Raw genomic sequence first — 20065 nt, 5'->3', positions numbered from 1 at the left:
CTTCTCCGCCCCCCAGCAAATAAAAGAAATAACACGCTTCCCAGTCGCAGCTGCTCCACACCTCAGCATATGCTCTGCCTCACTTGCTTCCTCACTGTTAAAATGACAACGGACGCCGTCTTCGGTGCTTCCAACACCCTCGGTTCCCTCTCGCGGCCCGGCCTTCCTACGCTGCTACGTTGTGCATTACCCACAACAGCAAAAATGTTCCACTGGTGGTTTCAAGATTCCTAAAAAAATAGATTCAAAACATCTTTAATACTCTCTGAAGAAGCAATACATCACAGGAAAAGCTGTAACCTTTCCTGTTGCTGATACTATCCAGACTGCGGGCTGATGAGGACGGTAACTGCAGCCAATTCGTATTCTGCGTGGCTGCCGCTGGAGGTGCACAGGAGCTGGTCCACCCACCCTCCACACTCCCAACCAAGGAAGCTGCTGAATTTCTGAGTGTTTGCCTAATGCCCTTTTATATAACCTGAAAAGAGTCACAGTACTTGAAGGCAGTATTTTCCAAGAAACAGCCTTCCCCTATTAACGCAACATCCCTGAAAATAATACTGCTGTTTCTACGGCAGTGACAGGCCCTGCATGGAACGCATTTTTCCTTCCTTTTTTCCCCATCACAGAGCCACGGGCAAGAAGCTGCGGCGGCAGAGCCTCGTCAAAGCCAGCTGGACAGAGGGATGGCTACTTGCATTGTTAAGTAGGAGCGCTTCACAGTGACCATGGGCCAGCCTGGAACTGCCTTCCCCCAGGACGGGGGGACAGGCGTGAGTGGGTGTGAAGCACAGGGAAGCTTCTCTGCCTGGTGATCCCAAGAGGGCCTGCAACAGGTGCCCTGCCTGGCTGAAGGAGGAGGCTGCCGGGAAATCAGACTCGGATTTGCCAGGTTGTTTGAAGGTTAATGTTATGGGTAATCAAAGGGAGGAGACAAAAGACAGAAAAATGGAAACCCTTCAGAACAGTGAAAGGTTTCATTTACCTTTGGTAAATAAAAGTGTGTTCATATTTTCACAAGGATTCTTCTATTTCACCAGCTTACAACTCAAACCGGGCTGGGCAAACACGCTGCGATACGGCGGTCACGGCTGTAATTCAGAGAGAATGCTCAGAAATGGGAAACAAAAACACAAGGCAGGATGCCCCTTTGTGCTGGAAGTCAGAATCTCCATGTGTTCTTCTCGCTGCCCGCCGAGGTCTGAGCGGGGCCCTGCTGTGAATGACCCCGGGAACGGTGCCAGAGTCACACAGACTTGGTGCAGACAACAGAGCTACCTTTCAGGGGCTCTGTGTCCTTGGACAGGTCACTAGACTTCTCTGAACCCGTTCGCTCATTTCCAGAAAGGGATAAGATCTCTCTTACAGTTCATGGGGTGCGCAAGAATGATGGGTGCCAAGCCCATGACCCCAGGTTCTGGCAAGGAATCGGCCTCTCCAAAAATGATGGTTTTTATTATTCTCACTATTCTAGAAAATGTCTTTGTGAATTGTTTGCTTGATTGAAACGGTTTCTTTTTAATAAAATCTTGATTTTAAAAAGCCCGAAGTCACCTCTGTTTTCTTTATTCAGCAGAATAGGATGCGGGGCGAGGACAACATTTAGAGACTTGGTAAATGTTTTTTTCTTTAACTTACATTGCCGTGTGTGTGCGTGTTTCTCCTTTCATCTTTCCCTGGCTCCCCCAATTTAAGAAAGGTTAGTTTAGGTAAAATGAGCATTACAAGGCTCCCACAACCTCCGCAGCCTTTCTGTCACAGGATTAAAGAGAAGAATGAACCCCAGGCTGAGTATGAACTTTTTGTAGGGCTCAAGAGAACAGAACCCCAGGCTGAGGAGGGAGAGGCAGACTTGGAGTGTGGGAGGACAGGGTAAGGGGTGTAACCTCATGGTCAGGCTGCTACTAGGGGAGCATGGCAGAAGCAGACCTGGCTCAGTGGCCAATAGCAGAGAGGTCCACCCTCCAGGCCAGGACCCATAGGTCCAGTGAGGTCTTCCTTGCTGAGAGCTCCAAGGGGACTGACCCTTGGGTCCCTTAGGAGGAGGGATCAAGGCCACCAGAACTGGAAGCCCAGAGGCCACAGTGAGCCTGATTCCCAAAAGAGAAGCAGAGGGGGTCTGGGGAGGGAATATCTGCCATCTTTCATCTGACAGGGGACAGACATAGGCACTGGCTGTGCTGATGAGAAAGGAACAGCGACGCTGACGTGCAGGAAGGCTGGCGCAGCTGAACAAGGTCATGGTCACTTCACTCTAATCTGACATCCTCAGCACGGTCTGTGTCCACGCAGTGACCCTAACAGGTGCATAACCATCAGGCTGCAAATGAGGGGTCTGGGGATGTGAAGCCCCCTAGACTGGAATAATGGGATTTCTCAGAGGGCCCCAGGAGCTGGGGTGGGCAGCCCATGGAAAGTGCAACTTCAGCAACTTCCCTCCGCCCAGAGCACCAGTGCAGGTGCTCCGGCCCGGCTCGCAGGTCCACCGTGAGAGGCAGTGCGGCTCACACAGAGCCCGGGGACGTCCTCCCTGGCCACCGCACCCCTTTCTACAGGCTGACTCAGAGCTCCCTGCAGCAGAGACACACATGAGATGCTCCGAGTGTCCTGACTTGTTCTCTGGCCCCAGAGATACGACTCAGGGTGTCTCAGGATCCCAGGTTGGATGGTCCCAGGGTGGCTGGGGAGGCAGCAACCTCCTCTGGAAGTGGGGTCCCTGGCAGCACCCGGTTCAGTGAAAATGGACGTGAGAGTGAGGCTCTAGGAGGAGGTTGCATTTACACAAGAGCAGAAGTCGAGGCAGCAGTTTTCTCATCTGCAAAATGCTAATAACAAAGCCTGCCCCCGGGCTTGTGAGGATAAGCCGAAGCCCAGGAGAAGGCCTGGCTCATCGCAGACCCACAGTGCGTGCTCCCCAGGCACCAGGTTCAGTGTCTTTCCTGAAAGGGCAACTGGATAGGACGTGGAAGAAGCGCCGAGCTGTGAAAGGAAGCGCAGGTTCTAGGGAGAGGGCTAAGCAGACAGGGAGAGAAGGACCTGATGGCTGGAACGGGCTTTGGAGGAGTCTTGTTTTGCTGGAGGCGGAGCTGACCTGGGGCTGCAGGGAGCAGCACACTCCATTCCCATCATCAATGCCCAGGGCCCAGGGCGCCCCTCTCTTGGGGGCTTACAGCCCACATCTTCCCACCACCGGATGGCTTTGCGGTCCCTGCTGTTTCCTGAACACACCAGCCCACCCTGCCTCAGCCTGGAGCCTGCAATGTTCCTCCCTCAGCGATCAGCGACCCGAGTGACCTCCTTTCTTACCTCCTTGGGTCTCTGCTCAAAGGCAACCACAGAGAGCTCTTTCCGAACCCTACTATTTCAAATCTCACAGCTAACACTCCTTATTCATTTTTCTCCATTGCACTTATCAATATTATGTGTGTGATTCTGAAGAACGCATATTCCCTAGATTTTATGTACAATATTCTCTAAGCCGTTGTCATGTTTACTAATTGTGTTTGCAAATCTTCTATACCTTTATTATTATTATTTTTGTCTGTTTGTTTTGTTGTTTAGAGAATGTGTTAAATATTTCCTACTGTGACTGTGAATTCATTTTTTCCCTTCTAGTTCTGTCAATTTTTGCCTTTTATATTTTGAGGCTATGTTCTATGTTCTGTGAACCCTTTGGGTATCTGAGACAGGTCTCATTTTAGGAAATTTATTTTGCCAAAGTTAAGGACGCATGCCAGTGACACGGCCTCAGGAGGTCCTGATGACATGTGTCCAGGGTGGTCAGGGCACAGGTTGGTTTTATACATTTTAGGGAGACATGAGACATCAATCAATATATGTAAGATGTACATTGGTTCTGCCTGGAAAGGGGTGGGACAACTCAAAGCAGGAAGGGGGTTTCCAAGTCATAGGTAGGTAAGCGACAAATGGGTGCATTGTTTTGAGTTTCTGATTAGCCTTTCCAAAGGAGGCCGTCAGATACGCATCTATCTCAGTGAGCAGAGTGGTGACTTTCAGTTCTATCTGTCCTTTGTCCACAAGGAAATTCCTTGTGAGGGAGGTATGTAGCTTGTTTTTAAAATCTTAGTACTTATCTTTTTTTAAGGGATAGAATGGGAGGCAGGTTGATTCTAAGCAGTTCCCAACTTGACTTTTCCCTTCAGCTTAGTGATTTTGGAGTCCCAAGATTTATTTTCCTTTCACAGTTCTTGGATGCGTACAATTGTTGTATCTTCCTGGTGAGCTGAGAGTGGTGGGTTTTTTTTTTTTTTTTTTTTTTTTTTTGAGATGGAGTCTTGCCCTGCCGCCCAGGCTGGAGTGCAATGGCGCGATCTCGGCTCACTGCAACCTCCACCTCCCGGGTTCAAACGATTCTCCTGCCTCAGCCTCCCGAGTAGCTGGGATTACAGGCGCGTGCCACCACCCCCGGCTAATGTTTGTATTTTTAGTAGAGATGGGGTTTCACCATGTTGGCCAGGCTGGTCTTGAATTCCTGACCTTGTGATCCGCCCACCTCAGCCTCCCAAAGTGCTGGGATCACAGGCACGAGCCACCGTGCCCGGCCAAGGATGGGTTTTTAAAAAATAGTAATTATGAAGTATTGTTTCTTGTCTTAAAGTCAATTTTGTGTGATACTGATGTAGCTACACCTGCTTTTATGCATAGTATATCTTTTTGCCTTCCTCTACCCTTTTCCCTTTAATCTTTCTATACCTTTTCTCTTTTAATGTGTTTTTTATAAATAGCATAGAGTGAGAATTTAAAATTTCAGTCTGAAAAGCTTTGTCTTTTGGTTAGAGCATATACATTTGATGTAATTACTGATGTATTCAGGTTTAAATTGATCATTTTGCTAATGCTCTCTGTGTCTCACTTGTTCTGTGTTCCTTTTATTCTTTTCTCCTTTGTCTTCTTTTGGATTAGGTATTTTGTATTTCATTGTAATATCCATAGATATTACATCCCTCATCCTTGACTTATTGAAGTGTAATATTGATACTTATACTCTCTTCCTTGGCCTTAAAACAATTCAAGGGCCTTAAAATAATTTCATTTCATTTGTTCTCCACCCCATTTCTAAGCCTTTTTTGCATTTATTTCTCTCTATATATGTTGTTTCATAAGAGATTTTTTATCTTTGTATACAATTGATATTTATTTATCTATAGCCTTATTTTTACATTTTTTGTTGCTTTTCATTGCTTCCTGAAACTCTAACCTTTGCTTTGAATTAATTTCATCTGCCTGAAAAATGTACTTTTGGATTTCCTTCAGTGCAGGCTTTCTTTCCTTTTCTTTTCTTTTTTGAGATTGAGACTCGCTCTGTTGCCCAGGCTGGAGTGCAATGGTGTGATCTTGGCTCACTGCAACCTCAGCCTCCCGGGTTCAAGAATTTCTCCTGCCTTAGCCTACTGAGTAGCTGGGATTACAGGCGTTCACCACCATGACCACCTAATTTTTGTATTTTTAGTAGAGACATGGTTTCTCCATGTTGGCCAGGCTGGTCTCCAACTCCTGACCTCAGGTGATCCACCTGCCACGGCCTAAAGTTCTGGGATTACAGGCATGAACCACCACACCCAGCCAGGCTTTCTGGTGACAAATTATTTCACTGTTTGTCTGAACTTTTTAAAAAAATCTTATTTTTGTTCTTTCTTCTAAGGGCATTTTCACTGGGTATAGAATTCCGAGCTGGCAATTTCTTTTAGCACTTTAAAGATATCACACCATTGACTTCTGACTTGCAATGTTTTATTGAGAAGTCAGTTATATATTTTGTCATTGTACTTTTCAAAGTAATCTGTCTTTCCCTTCCACCTGCTTTTTAGATTTTTCTCTGTCTTTAATTTTCAGCAGTTTTACTCTGAATGCCTTGGTTTAGATTTCATTTATCCTGCTTGTAAAGTGTTTCTTGAATCTATGACTTGATATCTTTCAACAGTTTAGAAATGTTCTCACCCATTTTCTTGAAATATTGCTTCTGACACAGTTTCTTCCTCCTCTTTTTCTGGAATCCCAATTATACGTGTGTTAGACATTTTCATTTTAACTCCTACTGCCCCACCTCCCCGCCTTTTTTTGCATTTTTTCTCTGGTCTCTCTTTACTTAAGGTGGATTTTTTTTTCTAATCAATCTTTCAGTTCATAATCCTTTTTTTTTTTTGGTTGCATCTGTTAAACTCGACATTGAATTCTTAATTTGGGGTATTATGTGGTTATTTACATTTGGGTTTTTAAAAAGATATATAGTTTCTGGTTCTCTGCTGAAAATTCCAATTTTGGTCTTTTAACATCTGGAACATGGTAAGCAGAGTTATTTTAAAGTCTGTGTCTGAGAATTCCAATATATCTGGAACCCCTATGGGTCTTTCTATTTTCTGTTGTTTCTACTGATATTTGTTATTGTGGTCTCCTTGTATCTGATTATTTTTGAAATTACGTTACAGATTCTACCTTTGCACATTGTTTTAGAAATAATTTGAGGTCAAGATGGTATCTTTCTCCTAAGATTATTTGTCTGCTTCTGCTGGGCACCTAGGGATACTAGTAATACGGGATCACCTTAATTCATTTTGGAGAACCCAGAGGATTTGAAGCAGAGAGGCAGCTCCTCAGAGGGCCCAGTGTGCAGCCCTTCAGAGTCCCAGGCCAAAGAAAGTACAGGGGTCACTGGAACCCACTGGCCCCCTTGGCAGACTCTGGGTTCCAATCCTGGTCCTCTGACCCTGCAAGCCTGCTGTCAAGCGCCCTGCTCAGCTCTCATCTGTCTCTTAAGAACTGCCAAATACTCCTAGAGGAAAACTGGCTGTAAGCATAAGGCTTACCTCCACGGGCCTCTGTGCTTCCCAGACCCGAATCGAATAGCAGCTCACCGTGTCTTGTTACCTCTCCAATGCCTTCAAGACAATGGTTATTAGACACTACCTGCTTTTCTAACTATCTTCAACAGAAGGCTTGGTCAGCATTTCCTCATTGATCATTTTGAACATGGAACTCGCCAGCACTTATTACCATCTAACATACTAGATATTTTTGTTACTTATTCATTGTCTTTCCATCCACTTGAAGGTAAGCTCCATGTGGGCAGTAATTTTTGTTTATCTTGCTTATTACTCTAACCAAAGCACCTGAAACTGTGCTTGGCACAGAATAAGTGATTAATAAATGGTGAATAAATACATGAATCTATTATCTTACTTTACTGCTGCAAATATTTATCCAACAACATGAACTTGCATTTCTACTTTTGCAGGGGCGAGTGAGGTCCAGAATGGAAGGTGATCTGGGCCCAGTTTCTGTAGTGAATTGAGACACAGTTAGGACCCAGGCTTTCTGCATAGCATTTCAGGGCACCCGCCCCACCACACAGGGCTATTTCTTGTCCCAGGACCAAGCCTTGCAAAGGACAAGTCTGGAGTGATGGCAAGAGGCAATCTGCTGATCATGACTGATGAAACTGAAAATTTCAGAGTCAGAAGCCACATAAGTCCCACAGTGAAAATGCAGACAGAGGGCCTATGGGGAAGTGCGGAACTGAGGAGAGATGACCACGTCTTTAAACTAGCCATTCCCTGCAGCTCATTCCGGACCAAGCCTCTTAAAGCACCAATTTATGAACTTCATTCCAGGAAAAGATGAAGAAAATGTCCATGAAACTTCTCAAAGAGCAGCAGATTCTCCATAAAAGCTCACTCAGATAGTGACAAGATAGGGAGCTGGGAAATCAATTGGTTCTCCAAAGCACACCAGAACGAATACAGCAAGGTGCAATTCAGTACCGAGAGGCCAGCAAGAGTTGAGTTTGGAGCTGAGGCCTGGCCATGGGCCCAACAGACCCAGCAGCAGTATCGCCCCATCCCACCCCAAGACAGTCCCTGACTACTAGCATCCAGTTGAAAGGCTTTATTTCCAAGTGTTGGGAGGAAGGGCTTTGTGGGGTGGGGGAGATGGCCAGCCAGGGATGAGGACTCTCCACTGCTTCTGATACCATGTGATCCCTGAGGGACTGTCAGGGGTATGTGTCACAAAAGCAACTCATCTGCTCTGCCTACCCTCCCTACCTGAGTAATGGACCTCCCGTACCCCCATGTCACTGAAGACAGTAGTGTGGACCATGGGCTCTGGAAAGAAGTGGGGGGTCAGGGGTGGGTTCACATCCAAACAGGAGTCTGATTCCCATTTGCTACTTAGATTAGTGTAGTCTTGCACCAACTATTTAATCTCTTTGTGTCTGGGTTTCCTCACCCATACAATGGGGATAAGTCACTACCTCACGGGTTTTGTTGGAAGGTTGAACCAAATAAACACGCAAAGTGCTTGTAGTAGGCTCTGGCACATGGTAAGAGCGTATTATGTATTTGTCATCATTATTATCATCATCTGTCATGCATGTCTGAAATCCCCCCATTCCCCCTTTTCTCACTATTACCCATCTCTAGGCCACGGTTATCATGAAATTCTGCACCCGGCTCCACACAGGCATCCTTGATTCCTATTCCCTCGCTCCACAACCAGCCGAGGGGGGCGCATTCTGAAGAGCACACCTGCTCTCTATTTCACAAAAACCCATCTGTGGCTCCCCACAGCCCTCAGGATGTGGTCCCAGCTCACCTCTCCAGCTCATCTCTGATTGCTGCCTTCTCCAGTGAAAGGGCTCAATGACTTTTCAGTCCTCACAAGCACCAAGCTTACAACTCTTCACCAGGCGTCTCCAGGGAATTCTCTCTCCCACACTTTCTCCTGGAGCTCTCCAACTCATCCTATAGTCCTCGACTTAGACACAGTGCCCTGCCACTGCAGGCCATCTCCCTCCTGGCTGTAATGCCATAACCACCCCTAGACCACAGGAGTGGGGAATGTTCTATTTACCCTCATGTTCCAGCATCTAGCACACTGCCTGGCATGTTCGAGACACTTAATACATCTGTGTCAAATGAATGAGTGACTAAATGACTGATATCAGGGGAACAGGTTGATAGAATCACAGACAAAATAGAACCCAGTGACTGACTTCAACTCTCAGTGGAGAATCTTCTCGAATGAGCTCTCATACTAAACCTCCATTGTAATTATCCTATTCCCATTCTGAGCACAGGGCTCCCTAAAAACCTGTAAATATTTTATTTCCTAATTGCTTATCTGCACCTTAATCACACAGTAGTTTTATTATTATTATTATCTTTATCGTTATTATTAATGGTGATAAAACAGAGCATATAAGTATTCGTAGAAAAAAACAATTGTGTGATTTAGAATTTTTAATTAATATGAGTTGGGGTTTGTATTGAGTGCTCTGTGCGAGAATGGATAATCCTCAGTGCCTCCCCCAATGGGTTTGGTATCTAAACGCTCCATATTGTAATTCACATCCTAAGGGGCCCACAGCACTTAGAAAATCATCGGTTCTCCAGTTATCTGCTTCCTATCAGCATCGCTTTCTCCAAATGAATGCATTTCAATTAAAGGAAGAATTTAACAGAGTAAATGTGAGGTGTGTATTTTGTGAATTATAGCTCTAACTTTGAATAAAAACAAAACAACAAACATTTTCTGAGCTCCTACGATATTCCAGGCATAGAAGATAAGACAGAGGAAAAAAAAAAGACTGGGCCCTACCTCCAAGGAGACTGCAGTCTTGTAGGGGAAGAAGGATGAACACAAAAATGAAATACTCAGTTGCAAGTCAGGGCAACAGGCAAGAGACCTCACAGGCGCGTGGGAGTTCCTGGTACAGACAGTAAGCTATAGATATGTTTAGGAGAACACAAAATAAAAGACCAAAACTTCACCAGCAGATGCTGTTATTTTCATGTTTACAGACAAAGTTTTACTCTCTTCTGTATGTGGGAACTTCCTCCAAATGACTTCTGTGCATTCCTTTTTCCCTCCCATCATGCTGGGAATGGAGATGGAAATTACTGTCTTTGTGTGGACAACAAAAGGTGACATTTTGGGTCAACTACTGACTACCTGTAGGCTGGAGAATCACCCTCCCGCCCTCCCTCCTTCCTCATCTTGGGACAATTCCGGGGTCCCTAGAAAGAGATGAGTGTGAGAGAATCTAAAGTGACTAAACATATAAATTGGGGGAACGGCAGTTCACATGATGACAGAGGCTTGCTCACAAAAGAAACAAGTTCAGAGCTCTCTAAGGCAGTGGTCCCCAACCTTTTTGGCAGCAGGGACCACTTTTGTGGAAGACAATTTTTCCATGGATGGGGCTGGGGGTGTGGGGAGATGGTTCTGGGATGAAACTGCTCCACCTCAGATCATCGGGTATTAGATTCTCATAAGGAGCATGCAACCTAGATCCCTCACATGCACAGTTCACAATAGGGTTCACGGTCCTATGAGAATCTATTGTCATTGCTGATCTGACAGGAGATGGAGCTCAGGTGGTCATGCTGGCTTGCCTGCCACTCACCTGCTGTGCACCTGTTTCCTAACAGGCCATGGACTGTACTGGTTTGTGGGGGTGGGTGACCCCTGCTCTAAAGAATGTAGTCCCAAATATGTATAAGATAGGGTATGACTGGATTTCAGATATTTCATTAAAAGTAACTTTTCCATTTGGTTCAAGACTAAAAAACCAAAATGGATTGCTAATGGTTCTCCTGGGCAGCCTTTTCTGCATCCCCTCTGCTTCTCAATCCCATCTTCCCTTTGGCATTCCCAGCTTGGGGCAGTGGGAAGAGATTCTTCTCTGGGGTCAGAGTGACCACCTTTCAAATCCCCAGCTGATCTCTGAGCTCCTGTGTGGTCTGGGCAGTGTGCAGGCCCCCTCTGAGTCACCACCTCCTGGTCTGTGTGGTCTGGGCAGTTTGCAGGCCCTCTCTGAGTCACCACCTCCTGGTCTGTGGGTGGCAGAGCCCTGCTGTGGTTTAAATATTTGTGTCTTCTCAAAATCCATGTCAAAACCTAACCCCCAGTGTGATGGTATGAGAAGGGGAAGCCTTAGGGAAGTGATTAGGTCATGAGGGTGGGGCCCTCACCAATGGGATTAGTGCCCTCATATGGGGCTCATGAGACCAGAGCTTGCCCCTTCCACCATGGAGTACAGTTAGAAGGTGCTGTCCATGAGCCAGGCCCAACCCTTACCAGGCACCACATTGGCCGGTGCCTTGATCGTGGGTTTCTCATCTTCCAGGACTGTGAGAAATACATTTCTGTTGTTTCTAAGCCACCCTGTTTACAGTATTTTGTTATGGCAGCCTGAATGGGCTAAGATAAGCCCTAGCTAAGGGTGTCTAAGGGACTAGGACAGTGCCTGCCATTGAGTGTGGGTTCTGCAAGCATCAAGCTCCCTTCTGCTCTCCCTGAGCTGCCCTCAGATGCCCCATAAATGACTCTCCTCTTCCCCTCTGCTTTTATTTCAGTTTAACTTTAGAAGCAAAATTCTCTGATAAAACCAACTCCCATCAAGCAGTGAATGATTTGTTCCCTCAGGAGATTAAAACTGCTAATTGCGTTTATAAGACAAGGAATTTCATAAAGTGATCCTTTAATTGTTAAATCGGTCAGGATGAACACGGAATTTTGGGCAGATTCCTAAGATGCTTTGAGGCAGTGCCTAACCCCGTGCCTTAGATCCCTTGGCTAAACTGAGTTGGAAATTGGGAAAGGCAAGGACACAGTGAGTCACAGGAAGGGCGCCTTGCAATCACACAAGGGACGTGAAACAAAGGAGGCCAGAGACCCCTGCACCCAGCAGCAGAGCGGCTGGGAGGAGGACCTTCCAGCTTTCCTGAGCAGGCTGTGTGCAAGGCCCGGGAACGTTCTGGAATCAATCATCTCTTTTCATTCCTCCCTCTCTCCTTTCTCTCTCTCTCTGCCTCTCTCTCTCTCTCCCTCTCTCTCTCCCTCTCTCTCTCTCTCACGCACACACACACACATACACACACACACACACTAGCTCACGGAATGATCCCCCCACCTGAAACTCCCATACTCTCACTTGTCCTTTAAGACAGGTTTTCCCTTGGCTGGGCACCATGGCTCACACCTGTAATCCCAGCACTTTGGGAGGCTGAGGTGGGCAGATCACTGAGGTCAGGAATTCGAGACCAGCCTGGCCAACATGGCAAAACCCCATCTCTACCAAAAATACAAAAATTAGCCGGGCGTGGTGGTGGGTGCCTAAAATCCCAGCTACTTGGGAGGCTGAGACACGAGAATCACTTGAACCCAGGAGGCAGAGGTTGCAGTGAGCCAAGATCACACCACTGCACTCCAGCCTGGGCGACAGAGTGAGACCCTGTCTCAAAAAAAAAAAAAACGGTTTTCCCAGTTCCTGAGGATTTGGAGGATTTCACGTGTGCTAAGCACCTGAGAAGGAGGAGGGCTTGAATGACTTCTTTGCTTTTATTATAGTTCCTCTTTCTTTTGGGCCTAGAGGCTAGGATATGTGTCTATTTTCATGGGCAGTCTAATCACTAAGGAGTTACATGTTCTGAAAATATACCAAATCGACTTTGTAGCTCAACAAAAACTGAGAGAAGATGAAGGGCAAGGGCTTCTTACGGTCCCTCACCATGCGCAGTTCCTGGGGCGCCGGGGGCTGTGTTCTGTGGAAGGCCTGGTCTGGGCCCTATGAAGCCTCCTTCAGCTGTGATACAAGAGCCGCGTGGAAGTCGCTCCATAAGGGGCAGGTAGGCGGGGTGTGGTGGCTCATGCCTGTGATCTCAGCACTTTGGGAGGCCGAGGTGGGAGGACTGCTTGAGCCCAGGAGTTGAAGACCAGCCTGGGCAGTATAGTGAGACCTCGTCTCTTCAAAAAATTAAAAAATTAGCTGGCTGTGTAGTCCCAGCTACTCAGGAGGCTGAGATGGGAAGATCCCTTGAGCCTGGGAAGCGGAGGTTGTAGTGAGCTGAGACGGTGCCACTGCACTGCAATCTGGGTGACAGGGTGAACCCTGTCTCCAAAAAAAAAAAAAAAAAAAAAAGCAACAAAGGAAAAAGAACAGGGCCACGCTGCCCTCCCAGTGGCTGAGGCCTTACTCCAGGGAAGGCGGTGGCAGGTCAGATCAGGCCTGATCTAGCAGGCAGGGCCAGGTGGAGTTGGGGCGCTCAGCGGACCCTCCCAACAGCCCTTCCTATTTCCCCATCAGAGGGGCCTGGCCCTTGTACTGCAAACGGCTGAGGGGACAACTGCTTCCCTGGCCTTGGCTGCAGCCCACAGCTGGGGGGCAGGAAGCATGGGTCAGGATGGGGACCTCAGGCCGACAGGCAGCAAGGAGCAGGGAGGAGGAGGCACTGGAGAGGCGTGGTAAGGACACCACCTCCAGGGAAGGGGTCCCCTCTAACCTCAGAAGGTCCTCCTTTCTGTCTTCACCCTGCCTCTTGCTCAGATCTATGATGGTCTAAAATGACTCCAAGTGACTTGCTCTCTCTCCATTTTGCAGATGGGCACTCAGTGCTCCAGGGGCCTGAGCTCTCAGGACATGGTAGTGTCAGAACCAGAAGGAAAAGCCCCCCAAGGCCACCTCCAGGGCTCCTGCTGCTGCTGGAGGGAATGCTGTCTCCCAGGAAATCAGTCATTTTCATCACTGTCAAGTCTCTCCCCCTGTGACACTTGCGTCCCAGTGGGGCCATTTATTAGCAAGCCCGGTAACCAGCAGCAACTGCCTCAGTTATAGAGAATAGAAATGATCTTCCAGGCCGGGCGCAGTGGCTCACGCCTGTAATCCCAGCACTCTGGGAGGCCGAGGCAGGCAGATCACAAGGTCAGGAGATCGAGACCATCCTGGCTAACACGGTGAAACCCCGTCTCAACTAAAAATACAGCCAGGCGTGGTGGCGGGCGCCTGTAGTCCCAGCTACTCGGGAGGCCCAGATTGTACCACTGCACTGCAGCCTGGGCGAAAGAGTGAGACTCTGTCTCAAAAAAATAAAAAAAATAAAAAAAATAAAAAAACAAAAAAGAAAGGATCTTCCAGTTGTCCAATGGTCCTTTGTCTAGATGCTTCACACTGGATAGCAACACGGTCCCCTCGGGGGCTGCCCCAGACCCTGAGCACTGAAGACCAGACCCACACTAGAACTGTGCACCCAGTACCCAGGCCTGAGCTCACAGAACCGACTTCATGGTGCTATGGTCAACCTCGCCACAAATCTGGGCACCTCCTCTGGGCACAGTCCCTCTGGAGGAGACGGGGACAATGTTGGGTGGCCAGTGGGGACCCCGTAAGAGCTGTTCCTGCACTGAACTCGGGGATGGGCTGAGTGCAGCCTTCCTTTCCCGCTGGACCGTGAATGCAGCTGCACCAGGGCCTCTGATGGAATCCACCAGGGCTCCTCGGCCTGGCCTGCTCCCCAGGGCTGGACACAATGCTGGACTGGCCTGGAGACAGGGAAGGGCTGGGATGTGGACTCACAGTGTTTACGGCTTTCCTGGGCTCCAGCACCCGAGGAAGGGTATGCTTTCCCGGCCAGCCTCCTCGATCTCCCTCTTTTAGAAAATCAGCACTTTCAGAATTTTTATTCCAAACGTGCCAGGGCCTTTCAAAAGGCCTGGGCCTCAGACCCCACCTGGAAAGCAACTGGCTGGGTAGGAAACCTGGGAAGTGCCTTCAGCTCTGGAATCTGGGATTTTTGTCCCGAGACACAGAGCTCAGGGCCCAGCAGAGGTCCCCCAAGAACTCAGAGGACATGCCCCTGTTCCTGCTGTCAGAGCCCTGACTGCCGCCGCTGTAGCCTTCATCTTCCAGCCCAGGAAACACCTTGACTGCTGGTTGGAGGTGGGATCCAGCCACGTGGGATGAACGGGGTTTCTGGATTGAGGCCCTACCTCTGGCTGCCTTTTCTGGCTCCAGCAGCTACAGAAACTCCTACAGGGTGGGCATTTCTCACGGTTCCAGGGTCCAGGGAAGGCTGTCCAACTTCACTTCTGACCTCAAACCTGCTTTCCTGAGCCCTTGTTTGCCCTGGGGTGGGGGGTCACTTCCCTGACTTTGACCTACCCTGAAGAGAGGCATTGTCCTGACCTCACCCCAGACTGCCCACCATCAGGCTGGGCACAGAGGGTGGCTCACGCCATACTCAGTGACTCATGGATTGGCAAGAGCTGTGATGTCTTTTCCTAAGAAATCAGAGGGGTCTATGAAGCCCCAGAATTGCTGGCAAGTCCAAGCTGGCCTAGGCTGAGCAGACCCTCTCCTGCTTCCTGATCTCACTGAGCCAATGGGGTGTGGCTCCCCTGGGCTGGGCCTGAGTAGCACCTGAGAGCCAACCTCATACACTTCCAGGTCTTCCCTTGACCCGGGATTCAGACCGTGAGGACAGAATATTCCCATGTAGAGGTCGGGAGTGGTGCCTCACGCCTGTAATCCCAGCACTTTTGGAGGCTGAGATGGGTAGACTGCTTGGAGCCCAGGAGTTCGAGACCAGTCTGGGCAACACAGCAAGACCTTGTTCCTTAAAAAAAAAAAAAAAAAAAAATTCACGTAGAGCAGCTGCCTGGAGCTGTCCCTTGGGTAGGAGGGACATTCACCTGCTTTTAAGCCACAGTCACAGCTTTCCTGACCCCCTACCCCTGTTGTGGCTTCCTAAAAGTTCCCCACTGGCCTCACACAGGACTCTGGGCAGAGTGAGGAAGAGCTTCCAGGGTAGGGATGGACGTGTTGACTCAGAGCCAGCCTTTGGGGCCGACCAGGACAGAATGTCTCCAGGAGGCCTCTGTGCAGGAGCCGCAGCCAGTGCTGTTACCAAGAAAAGCGCAAGGAGAAAGGGTAACACAATACGCCTGCTTTGGGCAGGCCCTGGGGCAGGGGGGTGCTGGGACGGATGACTCAGGAGATGCTCTGGGAGGCACAGGAACGACGTCATGTCTTGCCGACGGGCACGGGCTGTCTCTGTGTGTTAGGATGAAAAGGCCCTACACTCTGGCTGTCTCCAAATTCTGGGGAAAATGAGCAGTGGATACTCTGTGCTCGTCATGGCACAGGGGGACCAGGGATGCACTGGGGGACCCTTGCTGTGTCCCCTGCCCCTTCGTGAGTTTCTCCAGGGCAGTGACTGCCATAGCCACTGGATTCTGCTCCCTCTGCCCTGCCTCAGCCCCCGTCAATTGTCCTCCCCTGGCTCCAGAGCCCCAAGAGTGTCCTTCACAGCCTGATATCAAAGCAGCAGCTATTAACTGAGCCCTCCACTACCACCCCCACACTGCGGAGGGCTTGGTGTGCAAACAGCACGGCCCTGTGCAAAGGCTGGGGCATGAATAACAACATGCTCGGATGTGGGATGGAAACCCCTGGGTCTCCATCAGACAAGATCATGTCAGTCAGTGTGGTGGGCTAGCCTGGGAACCTACCAACCTCAGATGCACTACTGAGTGGGGAAGGTGCCCTCACGCTTCTCACTGGGTATCTCAGAGCTAAGAGTAACCCTCCCACCCCAGTGGTCTCATGCAAAGGAACACGTTGATGTTTGCAATCTAGAAGATGTCAGGACATCACAATGAGGTTGGGTGCATGGCTAAGCTCTCACAGACCCTGGCCTGGTCTCGTTTGCAATCATGAGCAAGGCTTCCAAAGACCTCAGACCTGCCATGCTTTCCTGTGGCAAACCACAGAGGGGGAGGCTTGAATACACATGCACATTCCAGGGCAGAATTTTACTCCCTTATGACCACGTAAATTACTTCAACTCCTGTAACTGCCATTAACAAATTATTCATATAAATTCACAAGCCCAGCTTGAAGTCACTGAATACAGACATTTCACTACCAAGGACGCTTTACTCCCACCCAAAACCCACTTAAAATGAATTTTCTCGGCTGAGCAAATCTTGTACCCCGACTTGCCGGGCCCCCTCAATGGTCCTGGGAGACACTCATAAACTCTTCTCCCCTTTTGACGACGCCTTTTTGTGCGGTCTTGGAGCGTGAGTGTTCAGGAGTTAGTATAACACAATCAGTGGCCAGGAGCGCAAACTTGGGGGCAGGATAGACCCCAATTTCAACTCCAAACTATTTGAACATCTGTGAGCTGCAGATTAGCTTCTCTAGGCCTCAGTTTTCTTCTCTATAAAACGGGAATGGCAATACCTACATCACAGGGTTGTTGTGAGGTTTACATGAGATGATACAAAGTGCTTAATGTAGTTTCACATACACTGTAGGCACTCAGCAAGTGATGGTTATCATTCTGTTATCATACTGGCTGTTATTATTCTCACCTAAGTAAAGACAGGATCAAAGGTGGCTGCTTCTGCTCTCTGACTGAGCAGCCAGTACCTGATCAGAGGCGAAGGGTGGATTCTGGCAGAGAGGACTCTGTGGGAGCCAGGGCTTTTCCCCTCTCCCAACCTGATGGGTCCCACTCCTTCTCTGAGCCCCCTTCCTTCTGGCATAGTCTCCCCTCCAGAAGACATCCACTTAAGAAGGGTCCCACAAGTCCCATCCAGGAGTTGATAGAGGCAATTTAATCAAAAGGGCAAAACCGCACAAACAGCTGAGCTGGTAGAGGAACAACGCCCCCTTTGCAGGAAAGCCCGGGAGCCCTGCCAGACAGGCGTGATGTTCAACCTAGAATCTGGCAGATGAAGTGCTCATTACGCTGGAGGATGGGAGCTGCGAACACCCAGTGCCCAGGTTGCAAGACCAAGGCCTTGCAGCTACAGTCGCTGAGTCTTTCAAGCATCTAATCTTTTCTCTCCTTCTCCAGTCCATGTTTTAACAACAGTGTTATTCAATGTGGGCCATCCTGGATAACTTTATTCTGCCCTTAGATCCATGCCTATGAAAGGATACCATGTTGTCCAGACCACCCATAATTCATTATGCTGAGTCCCCTTCCATCCGGAGGCTTAGAAAATTGTTGAAAAGCTGTCACTATAACCTATTGTCACTGCAACCTTTTATGAACCAGCCTACATTTTTATGTCAAAAATTTATCTGAATGGCCTCACAGCTCTTACCTCCAATTACTGCAGTGTCACCAACCTCCAGCTTGGGCTGCATTCTAGCTAACATATGCGGATACATGTCCTCTTCCCTCCTACCCTAGCCTCACATTTAAACAGGGAGCAAGCTTCTGGTTAGTGTGGCGTATCTCCTGCACGTGTGTATGCACACCCTGCAGAATGAAAAGGGGGATGGGGGGCTTGGGCCTTTGGGGTACATCCTAAGGAGGACCCTGGAGTGAGGAACCCAGGCAGCCATGGCTGACCCAGAGCTACTCTATGTAAACCAGCATGCGGACAGAGGCACGGGAGGAGGGACGTGGCGTCGGGCGGGCACACACAAAGAAGCTGGGATCATGTTTCCTTTGTCTTTAAATTACAAACAGTAATGCACACACTCCCTATCCACGGAACCGAAAATGCTGGAGGAAAAAAATTATGCATGCTATTGAGTGCCAATATCTTCATTTATAATTCTTCTTGTTCTGACTTTTCCAAAATACATATGCATATGTGTTTTGTCTGTGTATATGTACACACATGGACTAAAGTACATAAATATTTATATATGTAAATATTTACATGTCATATAAGGATAAATTATTAAATATAGTAAATATTTATATAGAATGTAATATAGAAAAATATTTATATTTCATTATATTAGGTATATATTTTTAAAATATCTATTCAAAGATATTTCACTACTTTAGGAGTCAATGATAGTTGAAAATATAACTAAACAGACATTTCCTTCTATAATTTTTCTTCTTGTTATTACGGATGAGAAAAGCCCCGGTTTCCTCATTTGGAGAGCTCCTTGACATTTTCTACACCAACTTGTAAGGGCTATTTTACTTTCCCTACTTGATAAATGAAGAAACAGGGACCAGGGCATGCTAAGAGACTTAGGCAAGGCTGGGGGCAACACGGGCCTTGAACCCGTATCTTGGAGCTCAGCCCAGAGTCCTTGCCGCAGGCTTCAGATGATTCTGCGGGACATGCATTTATCTTCATCATCCTCTGAGGTTGAGAAACCTACCATTCTCTATTTCTCTTGCCCCTGTCTGCTCCAAAGTAGCTGCTTAAGTAAAAAATACTCCTTAAATAGGAAAGAATGCCTGGGACAGGAATCTTGGAGTTTCCCATGGCCCTTGTTTCATGCAAGCTGGGCTGGGCGATGGCAGCTTCATGGGGCTCCGGGCCAAGCCTGGCTTTCCACTGCCCACACTGCTCTACCCCCAGCCTTCTGGGGCCGAAGAGGGCCACCCCTATGACTTGGGGGACACAGACACTGCAGTTCTAGACCCTCAAGCCTCATCTCAATGCTGGCCACTCGGAACTATCAGGCTCCATCCCATTATTGGAAGAAAGACAGCCCAGGGGCCACGCATGATGAACACTCCCAGTCATAAGCAAAACACAGGGAGCCTTGGCCTCTGCTAAAGCCCTCCCCTGGGCCACCATGGGGCTGCAGACAGGTGCTCTGGATGAGCAGCCTGGAAGTCTTCTCTGCTGCAGACCCCACTGTGCTTGTGAACTTGTGATCAGTCCTTGGAGAGGGGTGATCAGTTCTTTTTGTGACTATGTGGTGATGACTTCCACACAGCTGTCCATGGCTGTAGCAGGCACTGTGCACCAGGGAACGTGATTGGCAGGGAACAGCCAGGGCAGGTGTGTGTGTGTTTGTGCACAGTGTATATGTGAGTGTGCGCACATGCAGTACAATGAATATCATCTGAATTTTCCTTTTTGCTTGAGGCAAACACAAGGATGTTAAACTCTTCCACTCTGTCCTGAAGTCAGTGGGACCTGACTTCAACATCTTGCAAGATCAGTTACTTTGCAAATGATCTTGGTAAATGAACTTCCCTAACCCTCGGTTTTTTTTTATCTTAAAATGGGGATAATAATACCTGCCCTACAGGATTTGATGCAAAATATGTGCAAGGCACTTACTCATGCCTGGCAGGTAGTAAAGATTTAATAAATGCCAGGCATTATTACTGTGCCTCTTATTACCAACCTCTTAGGTACTCAGGCTGGTTATTATTTGTACCCAGGACACCGTTTCCAAACCCTTGAACTTCAGAGCGGCCCAGCCTCATCTCTCACTGACTTTCGGATGCCTCCAAGCCCTGCAGAACCAAGTGTTCCCTGGATGGGA

General features: G+C 48.3%; 1 protein-coding gene and 1 long non-coding RNA gene across 3 annotated transcripts in view, besides 1 other annotated feature; one reads left to right on the top strand and one right to left on the bottom strand.

Moving 5' to 3' along the window:
• KLHL29 (kelch like family member 29) overlaps window positions 1-20065 on the bottom strand; it is a 323428-nt gene that overhangs the window by 90559 nt on the left and 212804 nt on the right. The gene's annotated exons all lie outside the window — the stretch shown is intronic.
• On the top strand, window positions 49-1545 carry LOC102723401 (uncharacterized). Its single transcript, XR_427010.4, has 2 exons — window positions 49-892; window positions 1041-1545. It is a non-coding gene; the product is annotated as an uncharacterized LOC102723401 (long non-coding RNA).
• Window positions 15387-15942: an enhancer, noted in NCBI's record as "H3K4me1 hESC enhancer chr2:23824976-23825531 (GRCh37/hg19 assembly coordinates)". NCBI's record gives its function as "activates a minimal SCP1, AML or CMV promoter by ChIP-STARR-seq in naive H9 embryonic stem cells {active_cell/tissue: H9 hESC(naive)}" and the evidence as "EXISTENCE:reporter gene assay evidence [ECO:0000049][PMID:30033119]".

This window comes from Homo sapiens, chromosome 2 (genome assembly GCF_000001405.40).
Source record: "Homo sapiens chromosome 2, GRCh38.p14 Primary Assembly".
Lineage (NCBI taxonomy): Eukaryota > Metazoa > Chordata > Mammalia > Primates > Hominidae > Homo > Homo sapiens.
Note: the sequence above shows the minus strand (reverse complement) of the source record. Positions and strands in the feature narration are given on the sequence as shown.